Genomic DNA, 26,369 nt, shown 5'->3' with positions numbered 1-26,369 from the left:
TGAGGTCTCAGGCTATATGCACATGGGATCGCTTGGCCAAGTTAGCCTGTTTGCTTCTCTGATTTCACATTTCATGACCAGATGGTGCTGCTTGGAGCTACTTCTTCCTAAAACATCTCTTGTATAACTAATAGAGTATAATTATGATTCTTTTGAGATTTGTATGCTTCACAAGTAAATTTTCCTAATAACCCTTTTTTTTTTTTTTTTTTTTTGAGACAGAGTCTTGCTCTGTTGCCCAGGCTGGAATGCAGTGGCGTGATCTCGGCTCACTGCAAGCTCTGCCTCCTGGGTTCATGCCATCCTCCTGCCTCAGCCTCCCGAGTAGCTGGGACTACAGGCGCCCGCCACCACGCCTGGCTAATTTTTTGTATTTTTAGTAGAGACGGGGTTTCACCATGTTAGCCAGGATGGTCTCGATCTCCTGACCTTGTGAACCACCCGCCTCGGCCTCCCAAAGTGCTGGGATTACAGGCGTGAGCCACCACGCCTGGCCCCTAATAACCCTTTTAAGACATGCCCTTTAAGGGCATATTTAATATGCCTGTGTTGTATCTTATTCTAAACAACATTATCAGGAATGTTTCTTTCTTAGCTTCTAACACACTGGACTACCTTGTTTTCAAAGTCATTAATTCTAATTGACAATAACAAAGAAAATATCCTCTCTTGAGAACACTTACCATCTTTCAGTCAAATTAGTTTTGCAGGGTGTGTGGAGGCGGGAGGTGGTTGTTTCTTGGTGAGCCTGAAATAATGAAGAGTGGAGCAAAAAGAACGTGTTTTATTCCTATCAGCCGCTTTCTACACAAGGGTGAGAGAAAGGAATATTGGATTCTGGTCCTAGGGCTGCCATTGATGTGCTCAAACAGATCCCTGTCCCGTTCTTGGCCTTGCCCTTGCCATCTATAAATGGGAGGGGTGGGAAGGTTGGATTTGTTCTAAGAGCTTTGTAGCTTTGACGGTCTCTTAATTGTTACACTTCCTGCTCTGAGCTAGCAGGGGAGCACGACAGGATTCACTTTAAGAAATCTTGCTGTGTGGAACTGGATCTCCTTCCAGAGCCACATTCTTGGTGCATTTAAGTACCTGTACATGAAATATCTGTTTATAGGAAGCTGAAGCAGGGGGAGATTCCTGGAACTTCTTGGCCAAGGGTCTTTGCCTACTGGAGGAGGAACTGGAAGGATAAGGTGACCTGAACTGCTCCTCTGGATGATGGAAAATGATGGAGCTCAGTCTGCAGATGCCTTGGTGGCATCAGGCGGCTCACTGGCTGGCCTTCCTGATCTGTATCTCATCCTTCCAGCCTCCTGCTCCAGTCCCATCACAGTCTGCTCTCTGCCATCCCCTCTGCTGTAACTAAGCCTCTCTGTTCTCTGCCATCTCCCCCTCCCCCAACCCTGGCCCCCACAGTGTGGCTCTGCAGAATACATGGCCCCTGAGGTAGTGGAGGTCTTCACGGACCAGGCCACATTCTACGACAAGCGCTGTGACCTGTGGAGCCTGGGCGTGGTCCTCTACATCATGCTGAGTGGCTACCCACCCTTCGTGGGTCACTGCGGGGCCGACTGTGGCTGGGACCGGGGCGAGGTCTGCAGGGTGTGCCAGGTGAGTGCGGCCCCAGGGAGCACTGCGTAGACCCTGCTAGGGGTCAGTGTGGTTGGGGGATGCCAAGCAGGACTGGGCTGGGAGAGCGTTCCTGATCGGGATGGGGGCTCATAGTGCCCTCTCCCGCTCCTGTCACGGTGGCCACAAGGTAAAATAGAGATAATCAGACACTCCGCCCAGCTGGGAGTTCAGGGCAGGATTGTTAGAAGATCATGCCTGAACTGACTCTTTTTTTTTTTTTTTTTTTTTTTTTGAGATGGAGTCTCTCTCTGTCGCCCAGGCTGGAGTGCAATGGCACGATCTCGACTCACTGCAACCTCTGCCTCCTGGGTTCAAGCGATTCTCCTGCCTTAGGCCTCCCAAGTAGCTGGGACTACAGGCGCCGGCCACCACGTCTGGCTAATTTTTTATATTTTCAGTAGAGACGGGGTTTCATCGTGTTAGCCAGGATGGTCTCAATCTCCTGACCTTGTGATCCTCCCGCCTCGGCCTCCCAAAGTGCTGGGATTACAGGCGTGAGCCACCGCGCCCAGCCCTGAACTGACTCTTAAAGGGTGCATCCTGCCCTGCGGAAGAGGGACAAGAATCACAAGTAGAAGGAACAGCACGGGCATAGATGTGGGCACATGAAATAGCTGGAGTGTCTAGGAAGGAAGAGTGGAGTAGTAGGTCGGTGGTAGTGGGAGATGAGGCCTGAGAGGTTCACAGAGAGTCCTCTAGGAAGAGCCAAGGAATTTGGGCTTTGTTCTATGGGTGATCTCCACTCATCACCCATCCAGCCCACCAAGGGCATAGCCATCCTGGCCTGCCAAGGGCATTCTATATAGTTTGATCATCTAGGGGACAGTGCGGGGTGAGTCTGGGAAGAGGCCCCAGTCTGTGGCATCCCCAAGCCATGAGCTGCAGCTACAGCTGAGATCAATTGAAGCCGGTTGATCAAAACAATGACAGGCACATCCTGCCCATCCCTGGCAGTGTGGCCTCAGGAGGAATCTTTTGTACCTAGAACAAGCTGTTTGAAAGCATCCAGGAAGGCAAGTATGAGTTTCCTGACAAGGACTGGGCACACATCTCCAGTGAAGCCAAAGACCTCATCTCCAAGCTCCTGGTGCGAGATGCAAAGCAGAGACTTAGCGCCGCCCAAGTTCTGCAGCACCCATGGGTGCAGGGGGTGAGTGACTCCAGGGAGGGGTGTTTTCCACCACTTCAGGCCTGTGGCATGGCCACAAGGAAGCTGTCATGCCAGCAAGTGCTGAGCACCAGCCTTGTGGCTGGTGCAGCTGAAGAGGACAGCGTCTATCCCTGAGTGTGTAGAGTGAATCGACTCCTCCTGTTACCCCAGACTGAGCCCCTTATAGGCCATAGAGTTGGCTGTAAACTTGGCCACAGACTAAGCCCCAACAGAGTCCTCTGGGGATTTGGTACATGCACCCAGCCCCGCAAGCATCCTATTGTCATTTGAAGTCTGTAGCATCCTCCTCTTATATAGAAGCATCATTAGCTGAGGACACCCAGAAGTGAGCAAGGCCGTGCTGCGCTGATTGTTGTGTGGCCGAGTTGGGGCACATAGGTTCTCCTCATGGTCTGGGAGTCTGGGTACAGCTGGCCTGAAAGGCAAATGATCGTATTTTTTCCCTAAGCTTAGAATTCATGTCTTCACTAGAAAACATTTTTAAAAATCCTCCTTGGCTACTCACAATACCTGACCTCTGCCCTCCAAGGGGTCTGCCAGATGCTCCCATGACTTTCTGGTCTCCTTGGTGTGCCAGGCTCTGGCCAGCCTCAGTGACCCTACCAGTGGAAGGAGGCAAGCATTGCCATCCTATGTTGCAGATGGGGACCCAGTTTGAGTGTCTAACTGGCTCATTCCCAGACCCATAAGTGAGCACCTGCCACATGCCAGAGGGACAAGTGAGACCCAGTCCCTGTCTCTGTGCTCTAGTGGAGAGAAGTAGACAAGGGGATAAGTTACAGCATGATAAAGGCTTCTGAAAAGTGCTAGGGGCACAAAGGGAGCAAGACCCCACTCCCCATCCCGGGCCTGAGACTGAGGCAGGAAGGTGGCAGGGAAGGGGAAATGTGCGTCACAGGGGAAGTGACCCTTGAGCTGGGTCCTGGGGGATGATTAGGACTTTGCCAGGCAAAGGGAAAGAGGGGCTCTCCATGCAGAAGCAGCTATGTTGGGGGCTGCGGCTGCAGATTGTACCTTTCTTGCTCTCTGCTTGGAAGGCCTGACCCTGCAAGCAAGCATAGCCATTTCCCTGTGCTGCGCCAGCAGCCTATAGTAACCTACCCACTGCTGGCTTGGGTGGGGCAGTTCTTGAAAGGAGGGAGCAGTGCTTTACCTACACATCTGTCCTTCCCATTCTAGCAAGCTCCAGAAAAGGGACTCCCCACGCCGCAAGTCCTCCAGAGGTAAATGCTCTGACCACCCCCACGCCATGCTCTTCCTCAAGCTCTCAGCCACCATGGGGGTGGGGGCCGGGGGAGCCCATCTCTAGGCTCAGGTAGCTTTCTCCAAAGGGGCTCCCTGCCCATTTCCCCTCCTCACTCTCTTTTCCTCTACTCTGGATCTATCTCCCACCCTTCCCTTCCTTCACCTAGATTGGATCCTCTGCCCTCCAGCACCTTAAGGCCCCTCCTAGCACTGTTGGCAGGAAAAAAAACCTGTTTTGCCCATTGAACTGTAACTTACAGCCCAAAGACAGACCTTACCCATGGGTTATTCACACAAGGCTTCCCTCTGCCCTTGTATTTAATGAAAGGAGCAGAAGTGAGGGGCACGTACGGTACTAGACGGACAGTGATAATAGTGGCCACCAGGATTAAGTCCTTACCATGGCCAGGCATGGTGGCAGGTGCTGTAATGCCAGCTACTTGGGAGGCTGAGGCAGGAGAATCGCTTGAATCCAGCAGACGGAGGTTGCAGTGAGCTGCGATCACGCCACTGCACTCCATCCTGGGCAACAGAGCAAGCATCTGTCTCAAAAAAAATAGTAAGTCCTTACCACATGTCAGACGTGGTGCTAAGGGCTGGATATAATTATATCCATAATCTTCACGATGAATTTAAGAGAGGTGTTCTAGATGAGAGAGGTGAGGAGTGGCAATCAAGTTAACTTGCTTAAGGCCACACAGCAGCCCTGGGCTGTTTGACTCTGGAGCCCTTTTACAGCTGGACTGCCCTGTTCCCAAAGAGCCAGGGCTAAGCAGTGTGGGAAACCTTTTTGGCACCAGCCTCATGGCCAGCTTTTAGGAGCTACACAAGGAAGTCATACACCTCCATAATCGCAATTCGTGTGACCCAGTTGCTATTGCCCAATTTGGGTTCCTACCTGACTCTCTAGAGCAGCCTCCAGATGCCTTTAGATGCCAAACCTCAGATCCGCCTTAGAAGATTTATTCTGCAAACCCAAAGTGCCTGTCCACGCTAGCCCTGAGCTAGGTGCTGGGGACGTGGCATAAGCGGCGCAGGCCTTGCTCTGGGAGCTTTTTCCCCACGCAGGCTGGGAGAGGGAGGGACAGGTGTGTTTCATGTGCCCAGTCTCTGCCTCTGGTAGACCTGTATGTAGAGTTGTGGGAGCTCAGAGGAGGGTGCTCTGAGGAGAAGGGGGAGCTTGCCCCTACCATCAAGTCCAGGGATGGTACTTGGGGCTCAAATTAAAATCCCTCAGTCAAGAAAGATTCCAAACCTAGGCAAGAACTACTTTGGAGAGAGCAGCCCGTCCCAGCTCTGGGAAATCTGGTGGGAGCGTAGAGCCACAGCAGCAAGTGGGAGTGTCCCGGAGCTGGCCTGGCTGACCCTAGAGTCCTGACCCTCTTTTCTGTGCTTTCCCCTGGCCCTGCAGGAACAGCAGCACAATGGACCTGACGCTCTTCGCAGCTGAGGCCATCGCCCTTAACCGCCAGCTATCTCAGCACGAAGAGAACGAACTAGCAGAGGAGCCAGAGGCACTAGCTGATGGCCTCTGCTCCATGAAGCTTTCCCCTCCCTGCAAGTCACGCCTGGCCCGGAGACGGGCCCTGGCCCAGGCAGGCCGTGGTGAAGACAGGAGCCCGCCCACAGCACTCTGAAATGCTCCAGTCACACCTTATAGGCCCTAGGCCTGGCCAGGCATTGTCCCCTGGAAACCTGTGTGGCTAAAGTCTGCTGAGCAGGCAGCAGCCTCTGCTCTGTGGCTCCATTCAGGCTTTTTCATCTACGAAGGCCCTGAGGTTCCCATCAACCCCCATTTCCCTAGGGTCCTGGAGGAAAAAGCTTTTTCCAAAGGGGTTGTCTTTGAAAAGGAAAGCAATCACTTCTCACTTTGCATAATTGCCTGCAGCAGGAACATCTCTTCACTGGGCTCCACCTGCTCACCCGCCTGCAGATCTGGGATCCAGCCTGCTCTCACCGCTGTAGCTGTGGCGGCTGGGGCTGCAGCCTGCAGGGAGAAGCAAGAAGCATCAGTTGACAGAGGCTGCCGACACGTGCCTCTTCCCTCTCTTCTCTGTCACCCTCCTCTGGCGGTCCTTCCACCTTCCTCTGTCCTCCGGATGTCCTCTTTGCCCGTCTTCTCCCTTGGCTGAGCAAAGCCATCCCCTCAATTCAGGGAAGGGCAAGGAGCCTTCCTCATTCAGGAAATCAAATCAGTCTTCCGGTCTGCAGCACGGAAAAGCACATAATCTTTCTTTGCTGTGACTGAAATGTATCCCTCGTTTATCATCCCCTTTGTTTGTGATTGCTGCTAAAGTCAGTAGTATCGTTTTTTTAAAAAAAAAGTTTGGTGTTTTTAACCATGCTGTTCCAGCAAAGATGATACCTTAAACTCCCACTGCAAGCCCATGAACTTCCCAGAGAGTGGAACGGCTTGCTCTTCTTTCTAGAATGTCCATGCACTTGGGTTTTAATCAGCAGTTCCCTATTATTCTGATTTTAAGCTGTTCCTGTGATGAACTTAGAGACAGCATCGGTGTCTGCTGCTGTGTCCCCAGGTCTTGTGTGGGTGGCACAGATCTGGGCAGTTAGATAGTGCTCTGTGCCTAAGGTGAAGCCACACTAGGGTGAAGCCTCACTTCCCTGTTTGAGCAATGCAGTGCCTGCTGCCCGTGTGCATGAAGGTACAGCCATTCAGATAAGTGGAACTATTGAGTTACATAAAGAAAATAGATTTGCATTTGTCAGGCAGACGTTTATACAACACCACGGTGCTTTTATACATTGTGCTTATTTTAATAAAACTGAAATTCTATGTGTGGCCTATTTGGTGGTCCTTTTTTTTTTTTACCTGCAGACCTGAGGAGGAGACTGGCCTTCTAAACTGGGTCTAAGTCCAGCCAGGTGGGGAGAAGGTATCTCTTATTGGGACCCCTGAATAAAAACCGTATTTGACCCAAAAAACAAAGTGAAGGAGAAATTGCTATTTTTTTCCTAGGTGAGGAAATGAAATTCATCAAACTTTTATCAATTGCTTCTTCTGAGCCAGGACCCAGAAATGAGTAAGAAACAGCCTCTGCTTTCTAGGATCTCCCCATCAAGTGGTAGAGGTGGTGTCAGCAACCATGACACAGGAGACCAGAATGTACTTTAATAGATGTCCTCTGTGCCCAGCAGCCCACAAGCAGGAAACAAATTTCTCCTCTGTCTAAAGCATTACTAAGCCTTTATCAAGGGTGTGTCATGTGCCCGGGACTATGCAACAAAGAAAAATAGCACCTCCTATCCACAGCCCTCATGTACATCACGCAAAGGACTAAAGTGGGCACTAAAGTGCCCATTGTCCCAGGCGATCATCAGAGCCAGACAGGAGAGGACTGGGGTGGAAAGGACCTTTATAAGTTCCCAAGGAGGTGGCAAGGGAGGTCTGAGTGGGCAGTGGACTGGGTGCTGATGACAGCTGCTCTCCCTCGGGATGGCAGAGAGGGGAGATGGGATTAGGGGCTCTTCACTTGGGGCAGGTGACGGGCCACATCCCCAGCTGTCCTACGCCATGAATGCCTCCCCGTTGATGATACATACTGTTTGTTGACAGTCTTCCCTTGACAGTAACCCTGACACCCTCACATCCCTTTTTCATCTACCTGGAGTGGGCTTGGTGAGGAAAACAGACCTGCAAAATCTGATCCTTTTGGCCCACAGACTCCCAGCCCCTGGAGACCCAGAACCAGGATGTGAGTTCTAACCCTGAACCCCAGCCCGGCCTAGTGGGAGGCCCAACAGGAACGTGTCTTCAAGGGGGCTTCCTGGGTCAGGCACTCTCCACCCCTGGCCCACACCCTGCCCAGCTGCAACTCCCCATCTGTGCCTTGGCTCAAGCTGTGCCCTTTCTCAGCCCACCTCCCCAGCCTGGCCCACCTGGCAAGGCCCCTCTCATCCTGCATGGCTCTGCTTAAACGCCATGACCTTGGTTTTGGCTGACCTTGGTTTTGCCAGCATTGTCATGCACTTACTAAGTAACAGGTACTTTCTAAGAAGTTTACGGGCATTAGCATTTAATTCTCAGCAGTCCTCTGAGGTAGGTACTATTATTTTATCCCACTTGACATGAAAACCAAGCAGAGAAAGGAAAAATAGCTTGCCCAGGGCTATACAGCTAGGAATGGTGGAACTGGAATTCCCTCCAGGAAGGCTTGGGACGCCGCGCTGTGCTGCCTGCATTCAAATCCCAGCTCTGCCACTTACTAGCTCTGGGGCTTGGGCCAGTTAATCTCTGAGAGTCAGTTTCTTCAACTCTAAATGGGGATGATAGTGCTTACTTCATGGTACTGTTGTGAAAGTTACAAATTAATGAATGCAAAGTGTTGAGAGCAGTTCCAGGCCCACATAGTAAGTGCTCCATAAATGTTAGCTATTATAGTTTTAGCTAATCAAGTAGTCCCCATTGATCCACAGTTTCGCTTAATTCCATAATTAAGTGAATTATGTGGTCAAAATAGGTGAGTACAACACAATAGGATATTTTGAGAGACCACAGCCATATAATTTTATTACAATATATTGTTACAATTGTTCTATTTTGTTAATCTCTTACTATACCTAATTTATAAATTAAACTTTATCACAGATACGTATGTATAGGAAAAATGATAGTATATATAGAGTTTGGTACTGTCCACGGTTTGAGACATCCACCAAGGGCCTTAGAACGTGTCCCCGAGGGATAATGGGGGACTCCTGTATTTACTGTTATCTACCAGGGCAGAATTACACAACTCATGGTCCCAGTGCTAGAGACGAGCCCTCCCTGGTCCTTGGCTCCGGGAGCACTCTACAGAAGCACTGTGTGCTGTGGAGGTAGGTCTGGGCCTCTTAAGATGAGCCAGGACTCTGTCCCTCTGTAGGATCCTCCGGCAGACAGGCTGCTCCACCCCTCCGGGATGCAGTCCCTGGCCCAGAGGGGCAGCTGTGGCACAACAGGAAGAGCCTGAAGTTCGGACCTGAGCCCTGGGTTCCAGTACTGCCTCTGCCACTATTCACTGGTGACCTTGGAAGTCCTGGCTCTGCTGGACAGAGGCAGATCCAGCAGATGCACTGAGGAGGCTCTGAGACCACAGAGCCCCTTCCAGGCATAGGATCTGCGATAATGGAAGGCAGCTCCCCAGCTCCAGAGCTCATGCGTGGGCGGGGCCTAGAAGGAGAGCACTGGTCCCAGCCAGTTGGAGTGTCTCAAACCTCAGGTCTCTCTTCTCAAACCTAGTGATCAGGCCTTGGCCCCAGCCCCAGCCCCAGCCCTGATTCAGCTGGATCCTGAGGACTCCAGTCTGAGGGCCTCTGGGCACAGGGACCGTCCAGTTTTTGTCCCTCTGTGTGTCTACCTGCCTGGGCTCTGGGGGCGCCTCCTCCCTCCTGGCCGACTGCCCTCCCACACCCAGCCCCATGAATAGTGGTGCCTTGGTCCCATGCCAGCACTCCAGCCGCTTCAGGTCTGGAGGGGGCTGAGGAGCAAGGTCCCCCAAAGGCTGGCACTCTTGTTGCCATGGTAGCAGTTGCCTTGGAAGCCACTTCCCTGACTTCAGCTTCCAAATGGTCCAAGAAAGCTACCTGTCCCCCGGGGGATTGGTGAATTAATCACGCTCTTTTCCAGGGTTCTCACCCCTCAAGGAAAATAAACAGAACCAAACCAAACTGGGGCCTTTTCGCCCACTGTTCCTCCCCACCCCCACGCCACACTTGGACTTGGTGCACTGAGAAGGAAGGAGCATGGGCAGACGCTCCACAGTCCTTGCCTCAGCAGGAGACAGAGAGAAGAGACTGGGTGATGGAACTCAGCAATGTGCCCGTGGCCTTGCCATGCCTGAGAACTGTGGCCTCCAAGAGCACCCAGGTTCAGCGGGGAGGCTCCAATCCTTGGGAGGGGTGGAGGGTTGGTGGGGCGATGGAGCCCTGGTGCCTTGGGCCTCCCTCTCAGCATGGCTCACAGAGAGGTTCCTGAACTCACTTACCTATTGCTCTGAGCACGTCACTCAAGGACACACATTTTCTTTTTCAGAGATGATATAGCCCAAACTGAGGAAAGAATTGGCAGGCCTCCCTCTCTACATCACAACTGTTTTGGGAACCTTTAATGATGCACTCCTGGTCCTGAGGGAAAGAGGCAGGCCTTGACTGATTTTCATTGTTTTGTTTTGTTTGTTTGTTTGAGCCAGGATTTCACACCCATCGCCCAGGCTGGAGTGCAGTGGTGTGATCTCAGCTCACTGCAACCTCCTCCTCAAGCGATCCTCCCACCTCGGCCTCCCAAGTAGCTGGGACTACAAGCACACACCACTGTGCCTGGATAATTTTTGTTTTTGTAGAGACAGGGTTTCACCATGTTTCCCAGGCTGGTCTTGAACTCCTGGCCTCAAGCAATTCTCCCGCCTCAGCCTCCCAAAGTGCTGGGATTGTAATCCCACAGTGCCTGGTCCCTTGACTAATTTTTTAACTCAATGTCTCCCTCTGAAGGTGGGTCTGCCAGTTCCTCCCACCTCAACTAAGACAGTGTTGAAATTCAGGGGCAGATAGGCCAGAGTACTTCCCAGAGGGGCAGAATCCATGAGGACTCTGGGGCAATTCCTCTGTCTCCCCATGTCTTGGATTCCCCACCTATATGAAGAGCTGGGACGGCCCTGGTTCTGTGATCTTGGAACTGAAAAAGGCTTAACGTGCCTCTCCTTTGAGATCACAGTGTTTTCTGAGATCTGAAGCAGTGCACAGGTGCCTCTGCCACCCCCATCCCCATCACCAGACAAGGCAGTGGGCTCAGGGAGGTGGAATGGCTGGCCCGAGCCCCATAGTGCGAGGTGGAAAACGCGGCCCCAAGAGCTTCTATCTTGGTGAGGGTGTGAGAGAGTCGCCCTCAGCCTTAGACTTTGAGAGGAGCAAGGAACACGTTTCATGGACAATTATTTTGGTGGCTCCTTCTAAAACTAAGTCAGTGGGGGATCAATTATGTGTGACAGAGACATGGGCTATGATTTGATGCCTAATTAGAGGAATAATCAGATCTCATCCAGGCAGGAGGCACAGCAGATGCTGGCAGCAGCACCGTGGCTGGGGAATGCCCAGCTCCAGGGGTGTTCCCTCTGTGGGGAACAGGAACACAGTCCAGGGCCCATCTGTGTGCTGCAGTCACCCCTCTCTACAGACTCATCATGAGCCGAAGCTCCAACTCAGGTGACCCTGGGCCTTCTCAGGCCCCCTTCTCCACATACAAGGAATGCCTCTTGTTAGAGACAGAGGTTCCCTTGTGTCCACAGCCCTCCTCTTTGATGACTGGAGGTGGTTGTGCAGTCCAAGCCCTCTCCCTGAACTCTGTCCTCATGTTCAGAAGCCTAGCTCAGGTCCCTCCCAGCCACAGCATTCTGGGGAGCTCACTCCTGGAACCTGCCCTCAAGGGGCTCTCAGCCTACAGAGGAGATAGAACAAGAACAGGGCAGCCATGGAGGCAGGTGGAGGAACAAGAAGTTGAGCCTGGCAATATGAGACTGCAGATGCAGTGCAGAGAGGGGGCATCCAAAGAGAGGCCAGGGAGGCTGGCGACGGGACTCCGAGCAGGATTATGGGACCCTAGGAATTGTGCCCAGGTGCAGGGCCAGGCCGGGGCCATATTCTGAGACTGGGGGGTCCCCAATCCATAAAGGGCCAAATAACGCAATGAATGATAAAGGCTGGAACTGGGGGCCGGGGCAGGGCTCAGGGCTAGGCTGCATTGGTGACCACTGCCCAGCCTTGGGGTGGGGCATCCTGCAAGTAACTCAGACAGGCTGGGTGCAGGTGCTCAGTTCAGCGGATGGGAAGGCACCAACCATGACCCAGCCTCCCACTCCCGGCACCTAGCCCCTACCAAGTCCTCTTCTCTACCCTACCCCTTAGGTGTTTTCCTCCTGCCCACACCAGCACCACCACTGCTCTTCCCTTTCACTCCCAGTCGGGATCCCCAAGGTGGCTAGAAGGGTTCACTCTCCATTCCACTGGCCACTAAAAGGGGGGTGGGTACCAAGCCCACCTGAGGACAAGGGAGTCCCCTGAGATCAAGCCTCAAACTAGGACGCCCTCAGCCCTACCTGGGAGCCCAGAGGTGGACAGGATGGGGATGGGATGGGCAGGGGTAGGGAGCAGACTTGGAGGGATGCCTCTCCCTGTCCGCTTTCCATACCAGGTGCAGTTCCTGTCTCTTGAGCCTCCTGCTGTGTGTCTATCTCAGACTCCAAGCAGAGACCCCAGGTGCACCTCCAGGCCAAAGGGCAGAGCACATTACAGCGGGCCCTGAGCATGTGATCAGGAGTCTCCTCACATCCCTGGCTTCTGAACGACATGCAAAGCCACCAGCTCGTTCTTCCTCCTCAGGAACCAGCAGTGGAACCTGGGCTGACTGCCCGCTGGGCCCTGGGACCCAGACAGCCACTCACATTGCAACCTCATGAATAACTCAGCACCTCCCTGCTGCCTACATCTCTGAGGAGCCTGTGGCCGCTGGACCAACTCCCCCCTCACCCTGCCTCTCATTGCTTTAAATTTTCATAGGCTGAGGTTCAGTGGCAAGTAAGTGGCTCTAGGAAGCTGGGGCAGGATGTCCTGGGCAGGGGAGCTTGAACTCTCCTGGGTGGAGGCTGGCAGGGAAGGATCCTATGGAACAGGCCCAGCTCCCTAGAACTCTGGCAGCCAAAGCAGAAATGTAGCCAGACAGGAGTCCCAAGGGTGGGCTTCAGCTTCAGAGGGCTTTGAGAGAGGAAGAGTAAGCTGGGTGACCTCGTACAGATCCCTGGTCAAGGTGGGACTGGGGGGCCCGTAGTGGAGCAGTGGAATAGGACTGCAGATAAATCCCAGGGTTCCCCACCTATCATCTTACTGCCCAGAAACTCCTACCCTGAAGTTGGAGCGCCAACAAGGAGACATCCAAGAGCCCAGAAACTTCCAGGACTTTTCTGGGGCCAGACTGCACCGGCTGGAGGCAGTGCCCCGGGTGGGCCTGCATGGACATCCCCATCAGCAGCAGAGACTTCCGCGGCCTGCAGCTGGCCTGCGTGGCTCTCGGGCTGGTGGCTGGCAGCATCATTATCGGCATCTCCGTATCCAAGGCTGCAGCTGCCATGGGCGGTGTCTTTATTGGCGCTGCTGTTCTGGGTGAGCAGGGGCTGGGCTGGGATAGGGAAGGGAGATTCTGGAGGTGGGGGCAGGGGCATCGTCAGGTGAACAAGGAACAGGGAAGGGCTGGGTCAGCAGGAATCAGCTGGGGAGAACGGAAGCTAGAGGTGTGAGCAAGGCCGCCATCAGGGGCACAGGCGGGAGAGGAGCGACGCGCTGGGGCTCCTTCCAGCCACAGGGAGGAGAAAAGAAGGAGAGCTGGCCGTCACACTCTTTTCTGGCTACTCCCACTGGCTCTCCAGCCCCAAGCTCTAGGCTCCTGGATTTGTGGTGGGATTCATCAGCCTATCTGGGCGGAACAGGGGGTTGATGGCGGCAGGTAAAAGGACAGAGCTCCTGAGGACTCTCTGAGCCAAGACAGGCTCCAGCTCAGAAAAAGGGTTTCGTCTTCTTTCCCTGTTTGCCTCCACAGCAGCTGTGTCCATCTATCTGTGTGGGGCCACGCCCACTGATTGCCCCGCAGTGACGCTGAATGCCATCCCTCACCTCACCTCACCTCACCCCACCCCCCGCCCCCGCCCAGGCCAAAGGCAGGACCAGAAGCATCAGGCTAGGGGGCTTTAGGTATCTACACCTGCGGGTTCTGGCACAGATGCTCATCGGGGGATGGAGCGGGGGCGGGCAAGGCAGGACTGGCTCCACTGCTCCTGCTCCCCAGGTCTGGGTGGGGAGGAACATGCTGAGGACAAGCACCCAGTCCGGCCCTGGGGGCCCTGGGGAAGCGTGGGGACAGCAGAGACGCAGTGGTGGTGTCAGCCAGGCTCATTCCAGCAACCTGCTCTTCACTTAGGAACGGTGGAGCCAGGCAGGTGGGGCCTTCACAGTCTGTAGCCTCTTCCCCAAACAGGCACTGCCCCCACCAACCCAGATGCACACACCCACAGGCTCACATTTACACACTCACAGTCCCAAGTCTGCACACTGTGCTCCTCCCATGCACACCCATATCTCACAAACCACCCCTCAGGCTCCCAGCCCACCCACAGCCTCAACACTCACCAGGCTCCTCCCCATCACAGAACCCCCTGTGTCTCTTCTCAGGGCTCCTCATCTTGGCCTACCCCTTCCTGAAGGCTCGGTTCAACCTGGACCACATCCTGCCTACCATAGGTGAGGCCTCTCCCTGACCCCAGCAGACCCCTCTGCCAAGGACTGTTCCAGACCCTTTGTGTGCTCGTCTGTGACCCACTGTGTGGCTGGGATGAGCCCATGTGTGAGACCGCGCTAGCTGTCTGTGTTAGAGCTGCTGTGTGTGTGTGTGTTGTGCAGGCGTTGCCATGACTACAGAACGGCAGAATCCAGCCTGCAGCAAAGGTGCCTGAACCAGCTCAGAGCTGGGAAGTTCATCTCCCTTGAGAGATTTTATGACTCCCCAAAGCCTCCAACATCTCTAAATAACTCCCTCTCCATCCCTGAGCCCCCATGAAAGACCCTCTATTTCCCCTAAGACCCCACAGCCTCTGCACAGCTCCCACCTCATCTCAGCTCCCCACATACAGGCTGCCATCTCCACCAATCCTATGGGGCTTCTCATGGCCCCAGTTCTCCCCGGGACCTCACCTCCCTAAAAGATCTGCCATTTTCTCCTTCAAGGGCCCAGTTCTTTTTCTCCTGCCCAAATCAGCCCAGATCATGTGAGACCTAAAGGAATGCAGTGGAGCAAAGACAGCATCAGGGATGGAGACTAGATAGCAAGAAGGACTTCCCTTCCCAACCTAGGCTTGATTTGGGGAATGGCTCAGTAATCAGGGGGCTTGGGGTGGTCTCATCCTGCAGGGAGCCTAAGAATCCATCCCCATCCAGGGGCAGACCACGGGGAAGGAAGATCCAGCACCAATGGCAACAAGGAAGGTAAGTTCCAGAAATTCCCGAGTCCATCCTTCTTTTTTCTTTTTTTTTTTTGAGACAGAGTTTTGCTCGTGTTGCCCAGGCTGGAGTGCAATGGCATGATCTCGGCTCACTGCAACCTCCACCTCCCGGTTTCAAGCAATTCTCCTGCCTCAGCCTCCCGAGCAGCTGGGATTACAGACATGTGCCACCACGCCTGGCTAATTTTTGTATTTTTAGTAGAGACGGGGTTTCTCCATGTTGGTCAGGCTGGTCTCGAACTCCCAACCTCAGGTGATCCACCCGCCTCGGCCTCCCAAAGTGCTGGGATTATAGGCGTGAGCCACCGTGCCCAGCCTGAATCCATCTTTCATCTCCCCTCCCTGACTGAGCAGCTCCATGGGGCCCGGGAGCCTTGAGCGGCATGCCGAAGGGGCCTCCCCAGTGCGGGGAGACGGTACTGCTGGCACTTTCCCCAGGTGCACAGTCAGACCCTTGCTGCTCCAAGCTGAACTGATCTCCTCTTGCTTACTCTGAGGGCTTCTGTCTTGCCCAGCGTGGACACTGGAATGAGGGCACCTCCCTGCCCCTTCCCCTCCCTCCCTTTCCCCTCCCCCAGGTCCTATACCTCAGTTTATTTTCCCACTCCCCTCTCCCATCTCTCCCAGGGTCAGAGGAACTCAAAGGGACCCAAGCTGGGGTTCCCAGTGCCCAGGGCAGAGCTGGGATAGAATGGGGAGGGGGGGACATGCCAGGGGACAGTTTCAGCCCAGTTTAAAGAGGCCATGGGTACCAGCTTTGGGTACTAGCTTTAACCACCCCAGTTTAAAGTTCATACCCCAAACTGGGCATCTCCTTGTTCTTCCACCCCACACCTGGAAAGTTCCAGGGCAGGAGTTTCTCAAAGATGGTCCCAGCCCAGTCTCTGCCACCAGGGGTTGGATGCCTAATACTCAGTGAAAGGCCCCATTCCAGACACTGTTCCCAGCCCTGTTCATCTATTATTCGCTCTTTTAAGTCTCACAACAACCACATGAGGGCAGCACTATCATTAGTTTCATTTTACATAAGGGGCAACCGAGGCACAGGGAGATTTAGTGACATGCCCAAGACCACACAGCCAGGAAGTGCGGCAGTCAAAGCTCAAACCAGGCAGTGGGCTCCGGGGTCCCGCCTCTACCCCCGGCCTATGCTGCTGCCCTCTTGAAAGCCATCCTGACTGGAGGTACCTCTTTAAACTGGGCTGAAACTGTCCCCTGGGATGCTCCCCTCTCCCCATTCTATCCCAGCTCTGCCCTGGGGTCAACCAGGCACCCCGGCCTTGGGTCCCTCTGAGTTCCTCTGACCCTGACAACTCCATGGGGACCTGTCTACGGAGGCAGTCCTCGTCCCTGTTCTCTCCCCCAGGAGCCCGCAGCAGCCTGTCCACCGTGAGCAGGACCCTGGAGAAGCTGAAGCCGGGGACCCGGGGGGCTGAGGAATGCTGAGGCAAAGTCTGAGCGGCTGCCCATGCCCTGCCCTCCCATCCTGCCTGCTGCCCCTATGTCAGTGCCCTCCTGGGTTAGGAGACCCGGACCGGAGACAAGCCAGGCCCTGCAGACCCCAGAGCGGCTGGGAACAGTGTCTGGAATGGGGCCTTTTGCACTCGCCCGGCCAAGCCTCTCCAAAATGGATTCCACTGGTGTGGGCTGGGACCTGGAGCAAGGTGTCGCCGGACGCCCCCACAGGGTTCCCATGTTTCAGGCTCCTGCCCTGGCCTTTCTTTCTGGACTGCAGCTCAGCTTTGTTGCCTGTTCAATCTACTGATTTGTTTCTCTGGAATTTGGGGTCCAAGGCCCTGACTATGACCAGGATGCCCCAGTCCCTTGCTCTAACCCGGCTACAGAAGTGAACCACAGGCCCACAAGAACCACAGACAGGGACCCTCCACCCCCACGGTCTAGCCCAGGGGCTCTAGAGCTCACTAGCCCAATAGAGGGGCTAGACAAGATTCTTTTCCAAATATCAAAACTCCTGGCAGTTCCTCAGGGACAGGCTCTGAGCAGCAGTGAATCAGATGGGGGAATTTGGGGGGCTCACAAAGGGACAGGTACAAACAACTTCGCCTGGGGGTCAGAGGAGGCAACTTCTCAGCTGAGCCCAGGCCTGAGACCCTTGGTGTCTTAACTCCACCACTCAAGGCTTTTTGTGATCTGACTTCTCTCTTCCTCCCATCTTCTCACTGCTCCCTGAACAAGCAAAACACATTCCTGTCTCCAAGCTTTGCCCTGTGTTCTCCAGCACCCTCCCTGCTTCTGTCTGCCTATCAAACACCCCACTTTTAAAGTCCCCGTTCAAAAAATCTCCTACCCACGTGGTTTCCTCATTCTCTTCCACCAACCTCTGTCTTGCCACCTTTCAGGCAGGGCTGAAGTCTTCCTTTTCACAAAACAATTATTAAACCATCTTAAGTCTACTGAACGTTGCCCCTGCTCTAGTGTCTAGCACCAGACCAGTAGGTGCTTAATAAATGTTAATGGATTCAATTTAATGTAAAAACAATTCCCTAGGCTTTCCCTGGGAAGCCACTTCAAAGTCCCATCTACCGTGGGTAGAGCAAGGAGGCCCAGGTGTGGCCTCACAGAAAACATTGTTCCTCCCTCCACACCTGCACCCTCCAGGCAGAGTTGTTTGACCTCTACAGAGATACCCTCTCCATACGGCCTCTGGCCTGGTTTAGTGAGCAGAAGACAAGCTAGAAATCACGTCCTTCTTCCAGGATCAATGGAGACGGCACTTCCTCTTAGAAGCCTCCCCTGACTTCACTGTGCTTCCCAGCCCCAGGGTTTCCCTCCTTCACAGACCAATCTGAGTGGCCTTTGTCTATTTCCCCTCTTGAGAGTGGGAGCAGAGGGCCAGGCACCCAGACGACACCCCAGTGGATGTTGGAAAAACCAAAGTTTTCTGAAGCACAGAGTCCATCTCAGATGGGAAAGCTGAGGCCCCACTGGAAAAAGGACTCATCGAGTCCCATGGTGAAAGATCACGGGGCCAGGCCTGCAGCCAGGTCTCCTATCTCTCCCTATCCAAGGCTCTATCTTCTGCTGTCCTCTGCACAAGTGGCAGGGATCAGTTCTCTGACAACAGTGCGACAGACCTCCATGAAGGGGCTGCCTTCCACAAATGCTGGCTAGGTGTAGAGACTTCGTTTCCTTCAGCTGAGAGAAGCAACTTCCTCTCTTTGAACTGCCCTCCTCTCCACCCAGCTGCTGCCTATTCCCTGCCCCTTCTCCTTTCCTTCATTATCATCAACAATATCTCAGGCTGCTGGTCCCTCCTCAATCAATGAGGAGACCCTTCCTCCTATCCATCTTCGATCCTCACCTCAGTGCCCCAGAGATGCCCCAGGGTGGAGGGGGTGGGAATGGGGGATGTGGAGACTGAGCTGTGGAGAGTGTGGTTCCCTCCCCCCTGCCCATCAACCCCTCTCAGCCATGCTCTCCCCAGGGTGGGGCTATGGAATCCCCGATGCCTGGCAGGGCCAGGCAGAGAGAGATGCTGGGGACCAGGTGGAATAAATCAAGGAATGAAAGCATACAACGGCAAGAGCTATGTCCACTGGGGAAGAACTGGGTAAGGCTTCAAAAGACCCTTAAACTGAGTGGAAATTCTTGATCCTGGGACTCTAGTTCCTCTTTTTCCCTGCAGTGGGCTTCCTGAAACATCTTCCCTCCAGCCCAGGTGAATATCCCAATACATTTTGCTCAAGTACATCCCCAACCTCAACCTCCCCACTCCCTCCCTGTGGTCACAGGAGTAGTCAATGTGGAGACATGTGGCTTCTCCCCCTCACACTTCGAGAAAAGGTGAGGTCAGGCCTAGCTGGCATGGGTGGTATGGTAGGTAGTGTTAGGGAGTAGAACCCTCCAATATTTCAGCATGGGACAGGGGCGTAGACAGGGACAGGTCCTTGAACCAAGCTCTTCCCGTGGTCTGTTCAAGAAATGAAATTGGTTCTTTCCAATAGCCATTCTCACACCAGGACTGTGACTGTGACTGTGCCCAGCCCTAGGCTGGGTGCTGAGAACACACAAGTGATCTAAAGGTGGGGAGTACTTGGTCCAAGCAGATTCCTTGAAGTCACATGCCTGCTGGGCCAACCTGGAGGAGGACTGCACAGGCTGGGGCTGGAGTCTGGAGATAAAACTCACATCCTGGTTCCCAGGGGCTGGGGCAAGAGGCTGTGGGGCCTTGAGCCTGGCTTTCCCCAGATGCAAAGGGAGGATATGGTAGCCCTCCCCCACAGGGCCACTGTCAGCATGAAGGCTGCCTGGCACACAGTCACATCGGGTAGGGTTTATGAATGGATGAGTAAACGAACGAAGGCAGAGGTTGGAGAGATGCTCTTTCAGCTGAACTCTTCCAGGGTCTGGAAAGTCAGCACACCTCAGTCCTCCCTCCCACACGCCCAGCCTTGAGGTGGGCCTGCTGCCCAGCACTTCCTCCCCAGCCCTCATCCCAAAAAGTTCCTACACACACCACCAGGAGATAGAGTCACTCCCTAGACAGGCTCATGTCCACACCCCTTTCTAGGGTGCAGGATTGGTGGTTGATTGGGAAAGGGGTGCTGAAAACAAGTCCATCCCTGGAAAAATCCCCCCTCCCCCGCCCCACAGCTCCAGCCCCGCTCCAGAAAGAAGAATCCATTTGAAGTTGAAGGCAGAGCCAGTTCGACTTGTACCCCTGCCCCCTGCCCTAGAGTGAGTTGCAATATATCCGTGCCTGGCTCTCGGAAAGTGCGGACGAGACGGTGTGGGTGGGCTAGGAGTTATTTGCAAGGGTGCTTGCAAACCGTGAAGCCTAGAGGAGAACGGGAGAAGGATGGAACCGAGCGGAGAGGGGAGGTGTATGGTAAGAACCCCGCTCGCCCCGGGTTGAAGGGGAGCTGTGGGTCGGCGGTCAACGCTTGAAGGAGAGGGGTTCCGGGTGGCGGGAGGCGGCTGGGGACCCGCGCAGGCCAGCGTGCCGGCCCCTCCCAGCCCATCGCTGCCGCCGCCGGGGCTGCTCCAAGGGAGCCAAGCGGAGTGGGAGCGGGTCTGCGCGTCTCTGCTCTGCGCGCAGGGGCGGGGGGGCCCAGGACGGGGCGCCCTTTCCCACCCACATGCTGATCTAGGATCTCCAAGCGGCTCGGCCCAGGACACCGCCTGGAAACCCAGCCGCGTGGGAGAGGGCGACCCCACCTCCAACCCCCTTGCTGTGCGCCGGCCCAGCCCCTAGAAGTCAGCGGACGGCGGAGGAGGTGGCCCGGCCTCTCTTGGTGGTCCTGCGCTCTCGGGGTCTTTCCTTCCTGCTGACCCAGGGTGCTCAAGGGTCAGCCTGGTCGGACCCGCAGGGGAGTGTCCACGGACGGGCTCAGGCAAGTGAAGGAGCTGGGGGACGCTGGCGGGAGGGGGCTGAGGGGACGCTTACCTGAACTAGGGGAGAGACTCCATCCAGCCTGAGCTCCAGGAGACAGGAGCAGTGCCCAGACAAGTGGTCAAGAACCTGTAGCCGTGAGAGGACAGGGGTGAGAAAGATAGAGAGGGAGCAGGAGAAGGGGAGACACTCCGCAGGCACTGGCCGCTGGCTCGGGGGTTCCTCTGCTCCACTCTGACCCCGCCCTGCTCTGAACTGGGTAGGACTCTGCCCTAGAATCTCACCTGTCCCCTCCACATCCTCCCCAAGGCCCAAAGTGAGGAGGGGATGGGAGAGAAGAGAGCACAGAGCAACTTCAAATCCGAGACAGGGGAAGCCAGGAGGGCAGAAAACGCCTCTCTGACCAATGCCTCCCCCACCATTTATTTAACCAGTATTCACTGGGCCATTTATTTAACCAATATTCACCTGGGGAGTGGCAGGCACCGCTCCTCCCCCCGCCCCCCCGCTGGGGATACTGCAACAAACAAGGTGGACATAATCTTGGCCCTCAAGGAAGATGGCTGGGGCCTGCAGACCTGGACACAGGAGTCATGGCACCATGAGGGTATCGGGAGTTTAAGAGCCCTGATTTGCAGAGTTTTGGAAATCTGAAAGAAGGAAGGAAGGAAGCAGCATCCCAGCTGCACTCTGAAGGTAGAGCTGGGGTCAGCCAGGGGAAGAGAAAGTAGGCTCAGGGCTCAGGCACAGGGAGCTCACACACCTGGTGAGGTCAGCCCTGCAAGAGCAAAATCAAGGTGGGGGTGGGGAGGGGGGCAGGGCTGGGCAGCAGCCATGACGATCCTAGGAGGAGAGATGGTGCAGTGGTGAGACTAGAGAGGAAGGGATGGATTCTGGGATGCTTGGCAGGGAGAGTCTGCAGGGCTTTGTGATAGATGGCAAATGTGTGGAGGGACGCCTCAGGAGACAGGAGCTGAGGATGAAGCCCAGATTTTCTGGCTGGGTCTGTGGGCTCTGTGGGCGAAGATGAAATTGAGGAAACTGTATCCCAGGGGAAGAGTATGTTTCCAGGAGGGAGGCTTCAGTAGGTCCCAAGCTCTGGAGAGGTCAAGTTAGCTAAGGGTTGAACAGTGTTCATGGAATTCAGCAAAAAGGAGTCAGCTGGTGGCCTTGGTGAAAGCAGTCTGTGGTGTGATGGGGCAGAAACCAGACTGGAGTGGATTGGCTCTTGACAAGGAGATGAGATATATACTGCAGACAGTGCTTTCAAGAAAGGGACAGAGTGTTAGCTGGAGGCAGATGTGGGGTTGAAGAAGGGTTTTGTTTCAAGATGGGAGAGGCCTTCTTAGGTGCATCCAGTGGGAGGTACAGTCCAGTGACGGGTTGGTGAGCTCAGACTAGGAAGTGGGAGGTTTCCCGGGATCCTTAAGGACCACAGTGATGCCAGGGATGTGGATGTACAAAGGGCCCGTGCCGCCCCGCTGTGGTTTTTTCACCTACAAGGCTTGGCAGTTTAGGCATAGACTTGAGGTGGCAGAAAGCCAGACTGTTGCAATTGAGGCTTTGCTGGCAGCTTTGGCAGAAGGACAAAGGGACAAGTGAAGTTACAAGAGAGTAATGGAAATAAGGCAGTTTGGGTTCTTGGATAGATGCAGACAGAATTGGAAGCAACAGTATCGTGGAGAAAACTGTAGAGTTTCAGGGTTTGCATGAGATCAGAGAACAGTTACAGCCAGAGGCAGTGTGGAGTTATGAAGGGCACAGATTTAGGAGACACACAGCCTAGGTTTGAATCACAGCTCTGCCCTGTATTACCATGATGTCTGTGACCTTAGGCGATTCTTCTAACCTCTCAGTCCTCTGTTTTCCAATCCATAAATTAGCAACAGCAGTAGTGCTAACTAAGGGTTGTCATGGCACTTAAATGCGTTAATATATATAAAAGGCGGCCGGGCGCGGTGGCTCATGCTTGTCATCCCAGCACTTTGGGAGGCTGAGGCCAGTGGATCATGAGGTCAGGAGATTGAGACCATCCTGGCCAACATGGTGAAACCCCGTCTCTATTAAAAATACAAAAATTAGCCAGGTGCGCACCTGTAGTCCCAGGTACTCCAGGAGGCTGAGGCAGGAGAATCGCTTGAACCTGGAGGCGGAGGTTGCAGTGGGCCGACTGCACCACTGCACTCCAGTCTCGGCAACAGAGCAAGACTCCATCTCAAAAAAAAAAAAAAAGTATACATATATGGCTTAGAACAGTGTTTGTGCTGTACCCGTGTTTGTACAGAGGTAGCAGTGGAGTTACAGTCGAGAGTAGGGTGTCAGAGTTTCTCAGAGGTGGAATGGCTCAGGGTGATGACAAGGGTGGTAAAGTCCTGAAGGTAATGAGGTATGAGGAAGTGTAGCTGAGGTGGAATGAAGGAATTGAGCATTGGAGATGAGAAGTCAAGAAACTAAGAGGCCAGAGGGGTTGGGTCGTTGGGCAAAAGATGCTGAAGTTCCTCAGGCTGGAGAGGAAAGTGGAGCTAGTTCCAGAGCCTTGGAGGGAAGGAGACAGACAGGAAGGGCAGTTCCACTCCTGCCAGTCTGAAGTCCTCTCTCTCCACCCCTCCGGCTGGATCCAGGCAGCTGAGTTGCTTAGGGTAGACGCAGAGGCCCAGATTGAGGTTAGAGATCCCAGTCTGGCCACCTATATAACCCCTGCTGGGGACTGTGGCCTGAGGATTCTGTTGGGGAAGTGCGAGAGCACCAGGAAGGACTGGAAGGGAGCATCTTTGCCTGGATTGTTACAAAGGCTTGGTCTAACCAACACAGACCTGTGATCGCTCAAAGAAGCCTTCGGAGTCTTGTGCCACTGGGGCCTCTCAGCTGTGCTGGAAGCCAGAGCTTGCAGGGCCTGCAAAGACCATCTAGATCAATCTCACACTTTACCAATGGCAAAGCTGAGCCCCAGTGACGGGAATGGTGAGTGCTTGCCTTTTGCCAGCATGGAGACCCCTTGTGAATGGGGAGGCACCATCAGAGAAGCCAGAATGGAATTCCTGTTCACCCATCACCTCTCCCAGGGGCTCCTGCTCTCAAGCACCTTCCCTCCACCATCACACTTCCAGGCAAGGAGAAGTCTCCAGGGCAGCAGCTCATCTCCACCAGATAGGCAGGCAACTGACAGTGTGTGATATGTTGGCCTGTGTCTGCAACTGTCTGTGTGCAATGCATCTATGCATCTGTGTTTGTATTTCTGGATATGTCCGGTCACTGCGTGTGTGTCTGTGTGTGTGTGTTCGTGCATGCACATGGGCTCAGAGAGGAAGATGATAGATCCCAGGAATCAGACACAGGAGCTGGAAAGCCATGCCTTCAGGCTTCATCCTCAAACCTTGTTTCCAGCTTGGAGACTGTGTGTGTGTGTGTGTGTGTGTGTGTGTGTGTGTGTGTGTGTGTGTGTGCGCGCGCGCGCGCACGCGCACACGCACATGGACACATGTGTGAGTATGCATGTATATATGCCTGTGTCTATGGTGAGGACAGGCCCATGGATTGGCTAGGGTGAGGGTGATGGTAGCTCTTTGGGCTCTGGGTATGCAGAATTCAGTTGGCAGAAGCTGAGAGCTCCCAAGGTAGTGAATAAGCCCCAGCCGGCGATGAGTAAGAGTGATGTGGGAGGTTCCTGAGGATGCGGGTGCTGGGAAGAGGGCTGGCCCAGATTTCCAGGGACTGAGAGGGAACAGAAGGGCTAAGACTAAAAGGAACAGAGGAGTTCATAGTGAGCGGTAAAGAGCTCAGACTGAGCAAGTGAGGGGCTCAGCCTCCCATGGAGGACAGGGGGCTGGGGCCCCTGGCTGATGTCTGGACTGAAGCCCCCACGCCCAGAGGTTCTTGGGCCTTTGGACCAGGAATCTGGAGCCAAGAGGCCTGGCAGCTACCTCTAGTCAAGCAACTGCTCTTGTGCAACACAAACATCCCAGAACCATGGGTTGGGGGCAGAGGGGGGTGCAGGCTGACCTGCTGACCTGAAGGGACTTCAGACAGAGACTCCCTCTCCAGGAGCTCTTGCCTTCACCTACTTAGGACCACCCCCTTGAGCCCAAATTTTTTAAATAAGCAAACATCTCTGTACCTTTCAGTAAACAGCAATTCTAATGAGCCAAAAACATGAGCTTTTCAATCTGACAAAACTGGGTTTGAATCCCAGCTTTCCCTATTGCAGCTGAGTAAACCAGAGTAAGTCCCTTCACCTCTTTAGCCTCGGTGTCCTCACTGTGAACTGGGGGCAGGACTGCAACAGCTCACAGGGTTGTAGTGAAGGTTAAATGTGCTAATGTAGGGAAAGTGCCTAGCAGAGAGTTGCTGCTCAATATGAGTGCCCCTCCCCCTCAACAAGAACCCCTGTGCAGCAGCTGATTTCCCAGGGAAATAACGGAATCCCAGCCTAAAGCAAATAATCTGGTACAATGAGCAGGTACAGCCATATACATTTATATGTATACCTATACATAAATGTGCCATATATACATATATGTATACATATATGTAAATGTGCCATTTTATGAGACCTTTTGATACACTGACAGTAATTTCTAAACAGGTCCTCATTTCCACCTTTACAAACCTCAAGTAGTTGAGGGTGGGGCAGCAGATTGATTGATGAGGGACCTCAGTTTGGGGACAATAACCTCATTATACCCCTCCCTTCACATTCAGACAACAAAGGCCCAGAGAGGGACCCCAGCTCTCCCAGGCTGCCCAACCAGTGTCTGCTCCTCCCCCAAACTGCTTGTGGACTGGACTCCCCATGCAGAGACCATGAGGCCTCCCTAACCAGAGGCAGGGCAGCAGGGAGGGTGAATTGCTTGGCCAGGGTCATGGGCAGCTGAATGGCAGTGTTCAGAGCCCTGGCTGGTTGGGAAAGGGCCTGGTTCTGGTCTGGCTTGGCCCTAGCCCTCCTCTACTCCAAGCTTCAGTTTCCCACTTCTGAAGATTTAGGGATTGAACTAGATGATCTCCATGGGCTCAGCAGCTTGGAGTACTCACTAAAGTGAAGGTCTTCCAGTCCTCGCAACTCAAGAGTCAGAGCAATGTCCCTCCCTCCTGCTCAGGCACTGGGGTTGAAGGCTGGACTTGGAATGAAATAGAAGGGGCTTAGAGGACTGGGGAGAGCAATAGCATCAACTCAGAGTCCTGCTTCCATAATCCAATAGGCCAGCCTGGAAGTGGCACGTGTCACAATTCCCTGGCCAGAACGTCACACAGTGCCACCTAATCACAAATTAGCCAGAAAGTACAATCTTAACCTGTGCTCAGTAGAGTGGAAAACCAGAAAGATTTAGTGAACAGTGCCAAGGACACCCCACAACAGAGCTAGCCAGAACACCCACAACAAAATAGAACCAACACTGCAACAGCAGCCACAGGAGGCCACAGTCCACCAGATGAAATGGTGGTGCAAATTGAATTACAACAGCTGAGCAGCCTCAACACCTCACCCCTGCACACTCCCAGATCCCAATTAACCAGGGCGGAGGGCAACCTCGGGAATAAGCCCAACACCCACATGTTCTTAGTCCTTTTTGTGCCCAGGGCAGAGGTCCTTTTGTCTTATAGTCACTCTGCCTCCCAGGAGCAGATAAGAATCAATCATTCATTAGCAATTAGCACTTAGAAGCTCAGCCCCTGGGCTGGAATTATTTTCTGTTGAACCTAGTTTGCTAAACCAAGGAAGAAGCAAAGTGATTTTTACCTTCCTTGAACCAGAGAAAACCTGTCTTCCTCTGTGGTTGACGTTTGAGCAGTGTAAGTTCTAATTACAGGAGCTTATCTACAGGGCCTCAGAAGAGCCTGTGCCCTGTGCCTCAGTCATTCAACAAACATTTAGCAAATCTAGCACTGTGCTAGGTTGAGAGCTCAGGCTTTGGATCAGTACACCAGATTTCAAATC

The 26,369-nt window shown here is 53.9% G+C and overlaps 2 protein-coding genes and 1 long non-coding RNA gene across 33 annotated transcripts in view, besides 6 other annotated features; 2 read left to right on the top strand and 1 right to left on the bottom strand.

Annotated features, from left to right (window-relative positions):
• Positions 1-6,853, top strand: part of MKNK1 (MAPK interacting serine/threonine kinase 1) — a 46,862-nt gene extending 40,009 nt beyond the window's left edge. For 17 of the 30 annotated variants that reach the window (NR_024176.3, NM_001377373.1, NM_001377337.1 and 14 more), the window contains 4 exons: positions 1,417-1,611; positions 2,618-2,782; positions 3,983-4,026; positions 5,460-6,853. Coding sequence is in view for 26 of the 30 variants with exons in the window: in NM_001377373.1 (NP_001364302.1) it covers positions 1,417-1,611; positions 2,618-2,782; positions 3,983-4,026; positions 5,460-5,685 (630 nt within the window). In the remaining 4 variants the exon portion in view is untranslated. The other 13 variants (NR_165250.1, NR_024174.3, NM_001377343.1 and 10 more) reach the window with 4 other exon arrangements.
• The window catches only part of MKNK1-AS1 (MKNK1 antisense RNA 1), a 31,560-nt gene extending 5,996 nt beyond the window's left edge, over positions 1-25,564 (bottom strand). The window contains exons 1-6 of the long non-coding RNA NR_038403.1: positions 25,466-25,564; positions 23,251-23,330; positions 20,492-20,566; positions 5,918-6,035; positions 4,449-4,590; positions 684-748 (exon numbers count right to left, since the gene is read on the bottom strand). This is a non-coding gene — a long non-coding RNA (MKNK1 antisense RNA 1). The remainder of the gene's footprint in view (positions 1-683; positions 749-4,448; positions 4,591-5,917; positions 6,036-20,491; positions 20,567-23,250; positions 23,331-25,465) is intronic.
• Positions 5,428-5,597: a silencer, noted in NCBI's record as "fragment chr1:47024335-47024504 (GRCh37/hg19 assembly coordinates)". NCBI's record gives its function as "represses an EF-1alpha promoter that drives an FKBP-Casp9 reporter gene in an ReSE screen in K562 erythroleukemia cells {active_cell/tissue: K562}" and the evidence as "EXISTENCE:reporter gene assay evidence [ECO:0000049][PMID:32094911]".
• Positions 7,392-7,891: an enhancer, noted in NCBI's record as "H3K4me1 hESC enhancer chr1:47022041-47022540 (GRCh37/hg19 assembly coordinates)". NCBI's record gives its function as "activates a minimal SCP1, AML or CMV promoter by ChIP-STARR-seq in naive H9 embryonic stem cells {active_cell/tissue: H9 hESC(naive)}" and the evidence as "EXISTENCE:reporter gene assay evidence [ECO:0000049][PMID:30033119]".
• Positions 7,892-8,393: an enhancer, noted in NCBI's record as "H3K4me1 hESC enhancer chr1:47021539-47022040 (GRCh37/hg19 assembly coordinates)". NCBI's record gives its function as "activates a minimal SCP1, AML or CMV promoter by ChIP-STARR-seq in primed H9 embryonic stem cells {active_cell/tissue: H9 hESC(primed)}" and the evidence as "EXISTENCE:reporter gene assay evidence [ECO:0000049][PMID:30033119]".
• On the top strand, positions 12,613-18,619 carry KNCN (kinocilin). Of its 2 annotated transcripts, NM_001322255.2 has the most exons (4): positions 12,613-13,195; positions 14,258-14,326; positions 14,993-15,067; positions 16,451-18,619. In NM_001322255.2, the coding sequence occupies exons 1-4, from the start codon at positions 13,045-13,047 to the stop codon at positions 16,528-16,530; spliced, it is 375 nt and encodes a 124-aa protein (NP_001309184.1). In that variant the 5' UTR covers positions 12,613-13,044; the 3' UTR covers positions 16,531-18,619. The 2 variants fall into 2 exon arrangements, with proteins under 2 accessions (NP_001309184.1, NP_001091080.1); NM_001097611.1 differs by lacking the exon at positions 14,258-14,326 and having other exon boundaries at positions 13,045-13,195; positions 16,451-18,616.
• Positions 13,851-14,490: an enhancer, noted in NCBI's record as "H3K4me1 hESC enhancer chr1:47015442-47016081 (GRCh37/hg19 assembly coordinates)". NCBI's record gives its function as "activates a minimal SCP1, AML or CMV promoter by ChIP-STARR-seq in primed H9 embryonic stem cells {active_cell/tissue: H9 hESC(primed)}" and the evidence as "EXISTENCE:reporter gene assay evidence [ECO:0000049][PMID:30033119]".
• Positions 15,927-16,427: an enhancer, noted in NCBI's record as "H3K4me1 hESC enhancer chr1:47013505-47014005 (GRCh37/hg19 assembly coordinates)". NCBI's record gives its function as "activates a minimal SCP1, AML or CMV promoter by ChIP-STARR-seq in primed H9 embryonic stem cells {active_cell/tissue: H9 hESC(primed)}" and the evidence as "EXISTENCE:reporter gene assay evidence [ECO:0000049][PMID:30033119]".
• Positions 16,428-16,928: an enhancer, noted in NCBI's record as "H3K4me1 hESC enhancer chr1:47013004-47013504 (GRCh37/hg19 assembly coordinates)". NCBI's record gives its function as "activates a minimal SCP1, AML or CMV promoter by ChIP-STARR-seq in naive H9 embryonic stem cells {active_cell/tissue: H9 hESC(naive)}" and the evidence as "EXISTENCE:reporter gene assay evidence [ECO:0000049][PMID:30033119]".
• Positions 25,565-26,369: the final 805 nt, after the last annotated feature.

The sequence above is a fragment of the Homo sapiens genome, chromosome 1 (genome assembly GCF_000001405.40).
Source record: "Homo sapiens chromosome 1, GRCh38.p14 Primary Assembly".
Taxonomy (NCBI): Eukaryota; Metazoa; Chordata; class Mammalia; order Primates; family Hominidae; genus Homo; species Homo sapiens.
This window is presented reverse-complemented; position numbering and strand designations above follow the sequence as displayed.

What these genes read in the sequence shown, in the direction of transcription:
- KNCN (NM_001322255.2), top strand. Translation starts at nt 13,045, where the DNA reads ATGGACATCCCCATCAGCAGCAGAGACTTCCGCGGCCTGCAGCTGGCC. An exon ending in CCACATCCTGCCTACCATAG is followed by an intron (nt 14,327 to 14,992) that starts GTGAGGCCTCTC and finishes CTCATCCTGCAG; the next exon opens with GGAGCCTAAGAATCCATCCC. An exon ending in CACCAATGGCAACAAGGAAG is followed by an intron (nt 15,068 to 16,450) that starts GTAAGTTCCAGA and finishes TCTCTCCCCCAG; the next exon opens with GAGCCCGCAGCAGCCTGTCC.